The sequence below is a fragment of the Homo sapiens genome, chromosome 13 (genome assembly GCF_000001405.40).
Source record: "Homo sapiens chromosome 13, GRCh38.p14 Primary Assembly".
NCBI lineage: Eukaryota > Metazoa > Chordata > Mammalia > Primates > Hominidae > Homo > Homo sapiens.
The window spans coordinates 105,106,850-105,122,615 of record NC_000013.11 but is presented as its reverse complement, the minus strand read 5'-3'; the positions used below and the strand labels follow the sequence as shown (position 1 = coordinate 105,122,615).

Genomic DNA, 15,766 nt, shown 5'->3' with positions numbered 1-15,766 from the left:
AACATATGTAGATACATGATATTTATATTAAAACTCTAGCACTGATCAAAATCTCAGTGTCCTCTTCTAAGCTGAACTATCTTATTGGCTTAGAACAAAACCTCAGTTTTCAGTTGGCATAATTTTCAAGTTCAATTCAAACCCACCAAACAAACAACAATAACTCATCTTTTCAAAAAGTGCTTAGAGAATGTCTTTGAAAATAGCCACTTACATGCCTCATGAGGACTCTGAGAAAAATAGTGTATCCAGATACATTTGATATAATCCTATACATGATAACAGATTTAAAATAATATTTAAAGGAATAATTTTCCCACTAAGTTTATCTATCTTATATGCTTAGAGACATAAATATATGGAAATTTGTGATTAGTAAGAGGCGCCCTTATGTTCTGAAATCAAATTAAACATACCAAAATGCCAACTATTTTTGAACATATATATTTCTGATTGCTGTAGGCTTATTTTACTTTCTCCTTCATTCCAAAAGACTCATCAAGATTCAATGTTGAGTAACCTGTGGATACTAATTTGGTTTCTTCTTGCTTCAGGATCACAGGACAGAAATCTCTTTCTGTTAGCTTGTCCTCCTCTGCTAAGATTGCCGTTCTCTCATTCCTTCCATGATTGGCTTTCATTTATCCTTAGAGACAGCCCTGTTACCATCGTTGTTGAGAATCCTATCTGTTTTTTCCACTCCTCACTATCTCCCGCCCAGCGACCTCCATCCTGGTGAGGTACTCTCCAACCTGATTCCCTCACTTATTCTGCTTCATGCTTCCGTTAACCACAAATTGCTGTAATTAATTATCATGGGCCTCAACTTCATTGTGATTTGTTTAAAATGAGGGTCTCTTTATACTGTTTTTAAAGCAGCTTCGTTGAGATGCAATTCATATACCATACAATTCACTCACTTAATATTGCACTTAATATGGTGCAATTAAATAATTTTAGTATATTCTCACGATTATGCAATCACCACAATCTAATTTTAGAACATTTTGTTCCCCATAATAGAAACCCCACACACGTTCGCAGTCAACTTCCATTGCTTTTCCTGCCCTAAGCAACCACTATTGTAGCATTACCTGCTGCTAGTACAATGGTATGCACATAGTCAATTCTAAATCAATGTTTGCTTTAAAATACAAGAAGGGAAATACGTTAGGTCCCTAGGGCTGCCCTAACAAAATGCCATAAACAAGGTGGCTCAAAACAATAGAAATTTAATGTCTCATAGTCCTGGAGGGCAGAGTTCAAAGTAAACTTGGCAGCGGGACCATCATGCTCCCTCTACAATCTTTAGGAAAATTCTTCCTTGTCTCTTAGCTGCTGGTGGTTGCTGGCAATTTTTAGAATTTCTTTTTTCCTTTTTCCTTTTCCTTTTTTTTTTTTTTTTTTTTTTTTTTTAAGACTGAATCTCACTCTGTTGCCCAGGCTAGAGTACAGTGGCGCAGTCTCAGCTCACTGCAACCTCTGCCTTCCAGGTTCAATCAATTCTCCTGCCTCAGCCTCCTGAGTAGCCGGAACTACAGGCTTGTGTTGCAGGAAGTCAGGGACCCCAAACAGAGGGACCAGCTGAAGCCATGGCAGAAGAACATAAATTGTGAAGATTTCATGGACATTTATTAGTTCCCCAAATTAATACTTTTATAATTTCTTATGCCTGTCTTTACTGCAATCTCTGAACATAAATTGTGAAGATTTCATGGACATTTATCACTTCCCCAATCAATACTCTTGTGATTTCCTATGCCTGTCTTTAATCTCTTAATCCCGTCATCTTTGTAAGCTGAGGAGGATGTATGTCGCCTCAGGACCCTGTGATGATTGCATTAACTGCACAAATTGTTTGTAGAGCATGTGTGTTTGAACAGTATGAAATCTGGGCACCTTAAGAACAGGATAACAGCAATGTTCAGGGAACAAGGGAGATAACCTTAAAGTCTGGCTGCCTGTTGGCTGGGTGGATCAGAGTCATATTTCTCTTCTTTCAAAAGCAAATAGGAGAAATATTGCAGAATTATTTTTCTCAGCAAGGAACAGCCCTGAGAAAGAGAATGCGTCCCTAAGGGAAGGCCTCTGAAATGGCCACTTTGGGGACGGCTGTCTTTTATGGTCGTCGATAAGGGATGAAATAAGCCCCGGTCTCCCAGGCTTATTAGGACGAGGAAATTCCCGCCTAATAAATTTTGGTCAGACCAGTTGTCTGCTCTCAAACCCTGTCTCCTGATAAGATGCTATCAATGACAACGTGTGCCTGAGACTTCATTATTTCATTCCAGTCGTGTGGTCCTGTGATCTCACCCTGCCTCCATTTTCCTTGTGATATTTTATTACCTAGTGAAGCATGTGATCTCTGTGACCCACACCCTATTCGTACACTCCCTCCCCTTTTGAAAACCACTAATAAAAAGTTGCTGGTTTTACGGCTCAGGGGGCATCATGGAACCTGCCGAAATGTGATGTCTCCTCTGGCCACCCAGCTTTAAAATTTCTCTCTTTGTACTTTTTCCCTTTATTTCTCAGACCAGCCGACACCTGGGGAAAATAGAAAAGGACTCATGTTGAATATCGGGGGTGGGTTCCCCCCATAGGCTCATGCCACCACGCCTGGCTAATTTTTTTATTTTTAATAGAGATGAGGTTTCAGGATGTTAGCCAGGATGATCTCGATCTCCTGACCTCATGATCTGCCAGCCTTGGCCTCCCAAAGTGCTGGGATTACAGGCATGAGCCACAGCACCCAGCAAATTTTTGGAATTTCTTAACTTGCAACTGAACAACTTTGCTCTCTGCCCTCATCATCACCTGGAGTTTTCTCTGTGTATCTGTCTTCATGTGGCCACCTTCTTATAGGACATCAGTCAGATTAGATTACCACACACCCTGCTCCTGCATGACCTCATTTTAACTCATTACATATGCAATGATATTATTCATAAATAAGGTTGCATTTTGAGATACTAGAAATTAGGACCCGAAAAAAATATATATATGTATATTTGAGAAGACACATTCAACCCATAACATAATGGATGAATAATCAATGTATATTATTCTTTCTTGTTTGAAAAGGGTTTCATCTTAAACATGATGACAATGAATAATGTTATTATTTTTACTTCTTCAGATGGAAATCCTTGCAGAGCATGTTTGTTTTATGGTAATTCTATGAGACACTCAGAGTAAATTATTCCATGAGTTACTATATTGAACAGAAATGAACTGATTGCATTTTATTTCAAATTTTGTTCATGTTTCTACTTAGCATCTATGGTCTGCAACTTCTCTCTTAGGATATCTCCAGTGGAATTACAAGTAAGAGATTCCACCTGCCACATTCTACATCGTCCTTTTTCAGAAAATGATGCCATGTGCTTGAATAGCTCAAACCAGATCCGCATTATTAAAAATAAGTGGTGAAAGGGTGACATATTTTGTATCTTTTCCCTTTCCACATGCAGCTTTCTGGTGAAATCCAGAGATGATTCTTTGCTCAAGTATAATTCTATTACCTAAATCAGAATTCTGGATCCAAGATCTCTAGGTCTCAAAATAGAATTATTTACCAACAAATGATTGGATAACAATTTGCTTGAGAATTGGGGCAGAAATTGATTTGAAAACTACACTGTAGAGTACCCAATAGATCTCAATAGCAAAGCCTAATATGAAAATGTATTAGGAACTAGGTAAATAAAAGGGAAATGCAGTGAGTAATTATTATTTTAAGGATGTGAAGTTGGGCATAGTATTGTAGCTGCCAGACAGCAGTAGAAACAAACTCTCTGAAGGATGAGATCACCAAGGAAGTTTAGTAGAGAGGGAGAACAAAAAAGGGACCAGAGAAGAGAGAAAATTCTTTAAGTCTGCATTTATTGCATTTATTAAGTGTTTATGTAACTATGATCAGTTCTGGGCAATTTATGAGTGAGCCTCTAAAGTCAGGTTTCCAAAAGCACCAGCTTGAAAGAACTTTCAAGTACTTATCCAAGTGTGCCATTAATCTTGTGATGCTTAATCAGAACTACAAAAGAAACTTTTATCTGAATCAAAGTAAAAATGCCAAATAAATCACAATTAGATTTACTGTTATATTTTGTAATTTTCTTTTTATAATTAGTTTTTGATTTATAATATGTTACTTTCTGGTTGTTTTTTAAAGAAACTGGAAACCTTGATAGCGTAATGTTTTTGATGACCTGATTCTTTTAAATATTTCTTTCATATATTGACCTGTTTTGCCCTTAATATATACTTGAACTGTAAAAGAGGATAACTATTAATAGAAAACCTCTTATAATGCAATGTAGGTGGTATAAATGTTTTTAAGATTTATTTTGATTAAGAGGCATTAGGTTCTTGTATCCAGTTTAACTTCTCGTGTTCTTATATTTACCAAAACTTCCTCTGTCTGAAATTATAATGACAATCTTGCCTGAGTCCTTAAAATTTTATATATAAAATTGAATGTTTCCTATTTGTAGTTTTTCTTCATTATCTGGTTCCATAGGTGAATAAAGATGGATTTTTTAAAAATACATTTTGCTAATTTTATTTTTTTAATAGGAAATGCCTATATTTTCTTTGGGACTAAGAAACTCTCATGGATCATGTGGAGGTTGCACTTTTGAATAATGCATAGTTACTTCCTCTAAGGTTTCTTACAACTTAGTAGTTTAATAAAGCAAGAAAAGGAACAAAAGAACTGAAGGGCTGAAAATAAATTATGGGTGAAGGAGCATTGTGAGGCCCTTGCTGTTTTCATAAGGTCGGATTACTTACTAACTTCATACACAGATTTTTCTCTCCAAGAGCTTTGCTTTTTGTAATTTGACCTGGATATTTAACACAAAAATTATAGCAAAGAATAGCTATTAGACTGTTTGTATAAGTGGATTAATGAACTTAATATAAGTACAAAGTAAAGAAGACATAGGTATCAATAGAAAAAAAAAAGCATTCTTCCTGGAATTAAAAGATTTCTTAAAGTTTTTTCTGTTTGTTTACTTTGTAAATAGAAGATTTATAAGGGATTAAACTTATGTTTCACTCTAGCTTTTAGACCTAGTTTGCTTAAGTCACTATGGAAGAAATTATAGGTCATCTACCTTTTTTATGGATGAACGTGAGAGCTCTTTCTCACTCATCAAATTTCAAACGTTTTTAGAACAACAAAATATACCTTATAAAAACATAATATTCATTAAAAAGAGAACCTTGATGAGAAATATTAGTCTATAAGTTTTTGTGTGTGGTTTTCTTTTTTTAATGTAAGAAACTACTATAATGATGTATTAGAGATTGTAAACAATGAAAAACAAAATATCACAAAGGCTTATGTTTTAAAAAATGGTTACTTTATATCTGAACTATCCCAACAATAGCCTGACACTCAAACAATCTACATTGTGTAGCAGAACAGTTAAAATTAGTGCAGACACCTGGAAACATTCCAAGCATTATGATTGCTGGCCAAAGACAATTTCCTTTAAACAACTAAGAAAATATACATGAAATTCTAGTTTGAAATTTATGGAAAAGAAAAATGCTCATATAGAAAAGCAGCAGTCTGAAGAAGATTCTGCACACATAGGAAAAAAGTCTTAAAAATTATTTGAAAAAGTGATGATGACAGTGAGTAAATTCAAATTGCAAACATTCCCTCAATATGAATATTGCACTTAGCATTATTTAGACCTGTCTTGATAATGTTTTCATTCTCTACCCTATAGAAAATGAAGAAAATAATTATCATATGACATATCACCATGCATATATTTTTCAATAATCTCTGAATACAAAGTAATAATTTTATAAAAATCTGATAGTCTCATATTATATTATATCACTGAGGCCAGCATGGCCAGAGAACCTCCGAGCTCCATTGTGGAATTGTGATTGTCTAATAAGAGTTTCATACTAATTAATCCTTACTTTACACTCTATAAAATGCAACTCAACTGAACATAGCTAAATCCTGTTTCAAGGTAGAGTAATTCAATATTGATAGATACTTTCTCTACAATTATTACCAAGAAGATAATTTTTTTAAGTGGAAATACGAAGGCTGCCATTGAATAGCAATATCTATAATACTCAAGTGACTATGCATGAAACACTGATCTTGAAGTTTGGTTTAGCCTCTATCACCAATGCTTACCACTATTCATAAATGCAGTTAAAATTGTATAGGTGTCATTAATCCAGAGAGAAACAGCTGTCTCCATTGATGTATCAATTGTGTAGAAGATAGAGATCCATGAGTCTGTAGTCACCATTCCCAGTTCACTATATTTAAGAAATATGGGAATAAGTAAATGTTATAGTGTCTAAAATATTTTAAAAGATACTTATGTGAAACTATTTTCCCATATTTCGAAAATTATCATCAAGTAACAGTTGGCAACATATTAGATATTATTTGAAGACTGTAGGAGTTTTGCATGCTATAATAATGATTTATTTTGTAATTATCATTAATTTTCATGAGCAACTGTCCATTTGTAAATAAAATTGCTTGATTGTCTACGAGAAGCCATAGATGGACATAGACCTTGGCTTCTATTACTTGTCACTGATGTCTTTAGCATTAAATCCTAGGTAGGAATGAGGACAATATGCCTCTCAGGATGAGTAAATCTGATTTTTTCAATGCGTATTATACTTCCTTATAATGACCTGGCAGTTATTCGTTCTCTACTTTAATGCCATGACTATTCATCATATGATGAATTTTCTAAAAGTCAGTCCATCTTGGTTTACTACATAGATGGAACCTGCCTCAAAAATAATAATAGGACTTTAACTCAAAAAGATTAATTTTAATAACTTAAAAAGTACGCTCCTTGAGTGTATACATGTTCCTTGTTCTTGCTGATATCATAGATATATCTAAATAATTGTGAGTGGGTTATTTCTAATGTAGAAATCTCCAGATTTAGTTGGAAAGAAAGTAAACTTAGGAGTTAAACAGACCTTTGTTTGATTTCTAGTTCTATAACTTACTTGAGCTATGATTTTATTTTATAACCTATAATTATACCTTATTTTACCTTATAATAAGCAAGCTGAACTATTTAATTTGCATGCCTGACAATTGCTGATTTTATAGATTAAAAGAGAAAATTGTTACAAGAACCTAGCACAGTGCCTGGTTCAATGTAAGCAAATGTATGGAAAAAAAATAACATACCCCATGAATAGCAGTTTTACTGAGTAATTTCTGACACTATATAATGTTCTAGGCTTTTTTTTCTCTCTCTCTCTTTTTTTTTCCTCCAACCCTAGAATCAGCCATTTCTTCAAGGAGACATGGTATTTATTATTGGAAAATAACATTAGAAAGTAAGACCTGATGGGCTCTTTGCTACTAGGATGTCGTTTATTTTAGCCCTGTCAGTTGACAGAGCACCTCACGTGTATGCACAAGTTTATAAATATCTCCCTATAAAGCCATCTGTATCTATATTAAGTAAAACATGAATTAATACTGGTTCCTCTAACTATAATATATTATCAGATAGATCATTCTAGTCTTCTCACCTTGTTTATGTGTAAATCCCAGTTTTTTAGAAAAAAATTATTTATTTTTGAGACAGAGTCTTGCTCTGTCAGCCAAGCTGGAGTGCCATGGCACGATCTCAGCCCACTGCCACCTCTGCCTCCTGGGTTCTAGCGATTCTCCTGCCTCAGCCTCCCCAGCAGCTGGGATTACAGGCGCACGCCACCATGCTCAGCTAATTTTTGTATTTTTGGTAAAGACGGGATTTCACTATGATGGTGAGGCTGATCTTAAACTGCTGACCTCATGATCCACCCGCCTTGGCCTCCCAAAGTGCTGGGATTACAGACGTGAGCCACTGCACCCAGCCTGTAAATCCCAATTTTAACAATAAGAAACCTAGCCCCATAATCTGCCATTTATTCATTTATTTACTTAATTGTTCAAATTCAGTAAACATGTATAGCAGTATCAGAATTGTTAACACAATTTCTATAATAAATCTTCCCTAATATATCTCTCTACACATATCCTACTGGTTTCTTCCTCTGGAGAACCCTAATACATACTCTAATGGAATACAACTTTATCAGCTAGAGTACAGTGCTTATTTGCACATTCTTTGGTCTTTAGTCTTACAGACTCCACTCACTTCAAAAGTTGTTTTGATCACCAATTCCCCGTACTTACTTCCCTCAGATGTTGCATTTCTTTCTAAAATTCCTTGACCTTTTATTTTTTATTTTAAAGTAAATTTGCACACATTTAATTTCACTGCTTGTATTGTATAGTTCTTATTGACAAATGCATATTGTCATGTATCCACAATTGTAGTATCATATAGAATAGTTCTCTGTACTTTACCTATTTATCCCTTACCCCAGACTGAACCACTAGCAACCATTGATTACTTTACTTCCTCTATAGCTTTGCCTTTCCTGGGACATATACAATTGGAATCACATAGTATGTTGATCTTTTTATACAGGCTTTTTTATTCAGCCATATTCATTTAAGTTCCCTTATGTATTTTTGTTCCTTAATAGGTTATTCCTTTTTATCACTGAGTAATATTCCATCGTGTGGATGTATCACAGGTTTTTAAATTCATTCACCTATTAGATACCATCTTGATTGCTTTTACTTTTTGCCAATTTTGAATAAGACATTATAAGTATTTGTGTGTAGGTTTTGTGTGGATATAACTTTTCAAAGTAACTGGAGAACTGCCTTGGAGCACAGTTGCTGGGATGTATGGTAATATTATGTTTAAATATGTGAGAAACTGCCAAACTGTCTTCTAAAGTGGGCGTACTATTTTGCATTTCCACCAGCAATGAATAAGAGTTCCTGTCAATCCACATCTTCGTCAGCATTTAGTATAGTCAGCTTTTTGGATTTTAGCCATTTTAATAGGTGTGTAGAGGAATTTCATATTATGGTTTCAATTTGCAATTCTTGAAGACAAATTATTTTGAGCATTTTTTCATATGCTTGTCTTTTCAGATCTATTGCCTATTTTATATATAAGTTTTCTTGTTGTTCAGTGTATATTTTGGATACAAATTATTTGATTAGGTACATGGCTTACAAATATTCTCTCTGAGCTTCTGGCTTGTCTTTTCAATCTTTAAGTAGTGTCTTTTGCAGAGCAGATGTTTTTAAATTATAAGAACATAAAACTGACCACTTTTTCTTTTTATGGGTCATGCTTTAGGTATTACATCTAAATTCTTATCACCAAAGCCCAGAACACATAGATTCTCTCTCGCATCTTCTTCTAGAAGTTTCATAGTATCTTATTTACATTTATACCTGTGATTCATTTAAATTTGTCAATTGAAGAATGACAAGGTTTATACATTTGGAAAGTAGAGCTTTATTTCTCATAAAGGGATGCGGCCTTCAGAGTGGCTGTTCTGACAGGCTGGGAAGCGTAGTCTCCAGCCAGAAGACAGCAACAGACACTTCTAGGGAAGGGAAAAGTGAACAAGAATTTATTCTGAGCAGGGAGGGAGAATACACATATTTAATAAGCTGTAGGATGTGTCATGAATATTTATTAAATGAAAAATATTCACATGTACCATGCTCCTTCAAGGGTCTCAGGTACAAAAAATGGCAGCATTAGTATGATCCAAGGGTGGAACTTTTAGCCATCTAATGTCAAAAGGTGAAGTAGAGGATGTATATGCTTTACTGCACATTCTATTTAGACTGGGCCAGAACCACTGCATGGTTGGTGGTCTCTTATCTGGAAGAAATGCTGGTCAGTGGTTGTGCTGAAATCACAAAAGGGCAGGGCAGCACCAGACAGTTTGTTGATATCAGCAGTGGAGTCTTTCAAAAGGGCTGGTTTCAGTTTAGCCCTTAGGGACGAATGTCTAATGGTGATTAGTGAGGGCGGAGGGTATAACCAGGTGTATCTGATCCCCGCAAACTGTCATGGCTGATAATTCAGTTTTCAAGGTTTCTCTGAAGTCCCTTTGGACAAGTGGGGGGGGGGCGGAGGGGTCTGTTCAGTTGATTGTGGTGCTTAGGATTTTATTTTTATTTCTCAATTTAATTTTTGTGAAACTTGTAAGATCTAGGTCTAGGGTATTTTATTTTCTTCTTTTTACACACAGTCATCCAATTGCTGTAGTACCGTTTATTAAAAATGTTATATATTTTTCTGTTGAATACCCTTTGTACTTTTGTCAAATACCAGCTGATTACATTTGTTTGGGTCTTTTATTAGGATTTCAATTCAGTTTTACTTATCTGTTTGTCTGTTCTTTTGCCAATATCAGATTGTCTTGATTCTGTAGCTTTATAGTAAGTCCTGAAGTCAGGTAGTATAAACCCTTCAAATTTGTTCTTCTCTTTCGCTGTCATGATGGGTATTTTTTTTTTTTAATGGAGTTTTGCTTTTGTTGTCCAGGCTGGAGTGCAATGGCACGATCTCGACTTACTGCAACCTCTGCCTCCTGGGTTCAAGTGATTCTCCTGCTTCAGTCTCCTAAGTAGCTGGGATTATAGGCATGCGCCACCACGCCCGCCTAATTTTGTATTTTTGGTAGAGACGGGGTTTCTCCGTGTTGGTCAGGCTGGTCTCAAACTCCTGACCTCAGGTGATCCCCCTGCCTCGGCCTCCCAAAGTTCTGCGATTACAGGCATGAGCCACTGCGCCCAGCCTCATGATGGGTATTTTAGGTCTTCTATTTCTCCATATAAACATTAGAATCAGTTTGATGATATCCACAGAGTATAATGCTAAAATTTTTTATGGGAATTGTAATGTATCTATAGATAAATTATAAAAGAATTGGCATCTTAATATCGAATCATTCCAAGTAACACAGAGGTTAAAGAAGAAATTTCCAGAGAAATGTTTTTTCAAATTTTTTCTTTACACAAAAATTAAAATATCACCTACAAAAATGTGAGAAGCAGAAAAATCAGTGCTTAAGAGAAAAGCATAACAGGGAATGCATATATTTGTAAAACAAAAGATCAATAATCTATGTTTCTTTATTGGACAACTTGAAAAGGAAGAACAAGTTAAATCAAAAGTAGGCAGAGAAAAAGGTATAATAAAGATTATGACAGAAATCAATAAAATGTAAAAGAGAAACAATATAGAAAATCAACAAAACTAAAAATTGGATCTTCAACAATATCAATGAAGTTGAAAAGTCTCAAGGCAGGCTAAGAAAAAAAGAGAGGACACAAATTTCTGGTGTAAGAAATAAAAGAGGAGATATCACTACAGATCCCATAGATATTAAAAGGACAATAAAGTAATATTATGAACAAACCTATGTCCACTAATTTGACAAATTAGATGAAATAGGCCAATTCATTAAAAGACATAATTTTCCAAATCTCACAAAAGTAAAAATAGACAGTGAAAAAGCCTATATATATTAAAGAAATTGAATCAGTATTAATAACCTTTTAAAACAAAAGAATCTAAGCTGAGATGGGTTTGCTAATTATTTCTACCAAACAACATGCACCAATTTTCTGCAATCACTTTCAGAAGATAGAAGTGGAAAGAATCCTTTGTAACTATTTATATGATGTAAGCATTATCCTAACACCAAAACCAGACAAAGTACCAAAACTGTAAAATAATTTCTCATGAATATTCATGCAAAAGTCCCAAGAAAATAGTAGCAAATCAAATCAAGCAATATTTGAAAATAATTATGTACTACAACCAGTGGAATTTATCCTAAGTTTGCAAGGGTGGTTCAACATTAAAAAATCAATTAATATAATCCATCATATCAACAGGAATTGAAGACAATCATATGATCATATAAATAGATGTAGAAAAACTATTTGACAAAATCTAACACCCTTTCATTATAAAAACCATAAGTAAACTGGGAATAGAGGAGAACTTCCTCAACTTTATAAAGAATGTCTATACTAATTTACAGCTATCATCATACTCAACAGTGGGAAACCCAAAACTTTCCCACCAAGATCAGAAACATGGCAAAGATATTCCCTCTCACCACTGCCTCGGTGTTTGTTTTGAGAAGAGTCTCACTATGTTTCTTAGGCTGATCTTTAAACTTCTGGGCTCAAGCTATCCTCCCATGGAGAAGCCCCCAGCAGAGGAGCTGGGATAACAGGTGTGCACTACCACATCCAGTACAACAAATCACTACTGCTTTACAAAACTGTACTCAAAGCCTAAATAATGCAATAAGACAATAAAAGAAAAATTAAAAATTGTACATATTTTTAAGAAAAAAGAAACTTTCTTTGTTCACAGAAGACATTTCTATATAGAAAATCTGAAATAGTTGACAAAAATATTAATACAATTAAGAAGTGATTGTAGTAAGGTTGTAGGATATGTGGTTAACATATGAAAGTCAACTGCCTTTCTAAATAGGAGGGCTTTAAGCTGTTTGTGCCCCCGACAAAATGTATATAATTATATCCTTACCCCTAAAGTGATGGTGTTAGGAGCTAGGGCTTTGGGAAGTTGATCTTGTCATGAAGGTAGGGCCATCGTGATGGAGGAACAACAGCTAGACACAGACTCTACACCCTTCACAAAAACTAATGCAAAATGTGTTGTATACTGAAATGCAAAACTATAAAACGACTAGAATATGACATGTCAGAAAACATAGATGACATTGGGCTTGACAACTGCTTTTTAAATACAACACCAAAGGCAAAATGACTGAAAGAAAAAAAATGATAGCTAAACTTAATTAAAAATAAAGTTTTATTCTCTGAGAAAGATACTATCAAAAGAATAAACAGGCAAGCCACAGAATGGGAGAAAATATTTGAGAAAGATATGTCTAGTAAAGGAGCTATCCAAAACATACAAAAATCTGTCAAAATTCAATAAGAAAACACAAAACCCAATTTAAAAATTGCTGAAAACTCTTATCAAAGAAGACAGGCCGATGGCAAATGAACGTATGCAAAGATCCTCCCCAATATATGTTATCAGGGAAGTGTAAATTAAAACAACAATGAGATACAACTGCACGCTCATTAGAATGGCCAAAATCCAGAGCACTGACAATGCCAAATGCTGGAGAGAATATAGAGCAACAGAAACTTTCGTTCATTTTTGGTGGGAATGCAAAATGGTAGAGTGAATTTGGAAGGCAATTTGGCAGTTTCTTACTAAACTAAACATATTCTTAGCATAGGATCCAGCCATTGTGCTCCTTGTTAGTTAGCTAAAAGAGCTGAAAACTGGGTACACACAAAAGCCTATATTCAATTTCTTATAGCAGCTGTATTCATAATTGCCAAATCTTGGAAGTAACTAACATATCTTTCAGTATGTAAATGGATAAGTATACTGTGGTAGATCCAGACAATGAAATATCACTTAATGGTTAAAGAAATGAGCTGCCCTGTGATGAAAAGATGTGGAGAAAACTTAAATACATATTATTAAGTGATAGAAGCCAATCTGAAAGTCTACATACTGTATTATTTCAACTTCATTACATTCTCTAATAGGCAAAACAATGGAGGCAGTATAAAAATTAGTAATTATAAGGGGTTAGTAGAGAGCACTAATGGGGTGAATATGTGGAGCACAGAGGATTTTTAGGGCAGTGAAACTACTCTGTATAATACTATAATGGTGAACACCTGCCATTATGCATCTGTCAAGACAGAATATAAAACACCAAGAGTAGTTCTAATGGAAACTGTGGACCTTTGGTGAAAATGATGGGTTGGTGTAGGTTTATTAATTATAACAAATGTACCACTTTGGTGGAGGATGTTGATTGTGGAGAAGGCTATTCATGTGCAGGGGTGGTAGGTATCTGGGAAATCTCTGTATCTTCTGTTTAATTTTGTTGTGAACCTAAGACTGCTCTAAAAATTATACTACCCCGGTTTGAGAACATGTAACATCTCTCCTTTTATTTATAACTTTTTTGATTATTTTATCAGTGTTTCTGCATATAGATAGTATTTTCTTTCTTAGATTTATCCCTAAGTGTTTCCATTTTCAGCACTATTATAAAAGGTATTGTGTTTTTAATGTTAAATATCTATTTTTCATTTCTGGTATATAGGAAGGCAATTAATTTTTGCATATCAATCTTGTATGTGGTGACCCTATTATAATTACTTATTAGTTCTAAGTGTGCTTTTTATTTTATTTTATTTTATTTTATTTTATTTTATTTTATTTTATTTCATTTTCCTGTTTTGGATTTTCTCCATGGACAATCATGGCATCTGCAATAGAATATTGTTTTTTCTTTCTCAATTTACGTAAATGTTCCTTTCTCTTCTTACCTTATTGCATTAGTTAAGAATTCCAGTACTGCAATGAATGAGTGGTGAGGGGAGCATTCTCATCTTGTTTCCAAACTTAGAGAGAAAGTGTCCAGTTTCCTATCATTAAGTAAGCTGCTAATAAAAACACCCTTGCAAAAATTATGACAATTAGAAAATTATAACAGTGAAAGAGACCTGATCTACACCTCCCACTGCCACATCTTGCCTTTCCCTTAATTGTTCCTGGAATTAGGCTAAGCTAACTTTGGGAGATATTTAGTTTATAATTTAAATGATAATAGCCCTTCTACAAAACTCAATCAGCTTTGTAAAGCTAATGAAAGGCCATCCGGCTAGCAAGAGAAGAGGAACCTGAATTCTGCCAAGATGTGGACTGGCCATGAGATATGCAACTTTACTTTTGTAGATCAGCCTTTTGAGATACGTTTTCAGGTTTTTCATATGTCTAACACCCACGGCTCCACCTGGATTTGCCAACCCCACTCCTGTGGCTCCACCCCAAAGCAGTTCAGCTCAAGAGGACAGTTTTGACTCCCTATGATGATTTCAACTCCACCCTAACTAATCAGCAGCAAGCACCCATTGCTAGCTACTCCCCCGACTTCCCCTAACCTGCCTTTGAAAAACTCCTAACCTAGGAGCCTTCGATAAGATTGATTTAAGTAATAACTCTCTCTGATCCTTGGTGTGGCCATCCTAACATCAATTAAACTTTTTCTTTACTTCAATGTTGTGATCTTTATTTGTGCAGCAGGCAGGAAGAACCCATTGGACAGTGACACTAACTGTAGGGTTTTTGTTAATGGTGTTTATTGAGTTGAGGAAGTTTATCTCTATTCCTAGTTTGCTGAGAGTTTCTATCATGAATGGGTGGTGGAGTGAATGTGTGTAAGTTCAATTAGATGGTGCTGTTTGGGTCCCCTATATTTGTACTGATTTTGTACCTGTTTAATCTATGAACTATGAAGTTTAGGTTAGCCTAAAGCTGCCTCCTTATGTATTTTAGTTTGGTCTAAAGGTTTCTCTGTATGTAGTGATCTGAAACATAACTAGGTGTGCAAACAGACAGTAACCTATTCTTGTAACAAGTAGTCAAGTTTCAGCCAATCACAGTAGCCATACTTCACCCACTCACTGGTGACTATAAACCCCCCTAGATTTGAGACGGGTCTCAATTTAGAAAGTTTATTTTTCCAAGGTTGAGGATGTACACCCATGACACAGCCTCAGGAAATCCTGATGACAGGTGCCCAAGGTGTTCAGAACGCAGCCTGGTTTTATACATTTTTATGGAGATATGAGACATCAATCAACATATGTAAAATGAACATTGGTTTGGTCCTGAAAGGCAGGACAACTTGAAGCAAAAGCAGGACAACTCTAAGCAAGGAGGGGGCTTCTAGGTCACAGGTAAGTGAGAGACAAATGGTTGCATTCTTTTGAGTTTCTGATTAGCCTTTC

The 15,766-nt window shown here is 35.0% G+C and overlaps 3 annotated features.

The window, feature by feature from the left end:
- Positions 3,069-6,894: an enhancer, noted in NCBI's record as "VISTA enhancer hs1991". NCBI's record gives its function as "enhancer in: limb[7/7]" and the evidence as "EXISTENCE:transgenic organism evidence [ECO:0001131][PMID:17130149]".
- Positions 5,264-5,558: a silencer, noted in NCBI's record as "tiled region #6622; HepG2 Repressive non-DNase unmatched - State 24:Quies". NCBI's record gives its function as "represses a minimal TATA promoter and a strong SV40 promoter by Sharpr-MPRA in HepG2 cells {active_cell/tissue: HepG2}" and the evidence as "EXISTENCE:reporter gene assay evidence [ECO:0000049][PMID:27701403]".
- Positions 14,340-14,878: an enhancer, noted in NCBI's record as "OCT4-NANOG hESC enhancer chr13:105760089-105760627 (GRCh37/hg19 assembly coordinates)". NCBI's record gives its function as "activates a minimal SCP1, AML or CMV promoter by ChIP-STARR-seq in primed H9 embryonic stem cells {active_cell/tissue: H9 hESC(primed)}" and the evidence as "EXISTENCE:reporter gene assay evidence [ECO:0000049][PMID:30033119]".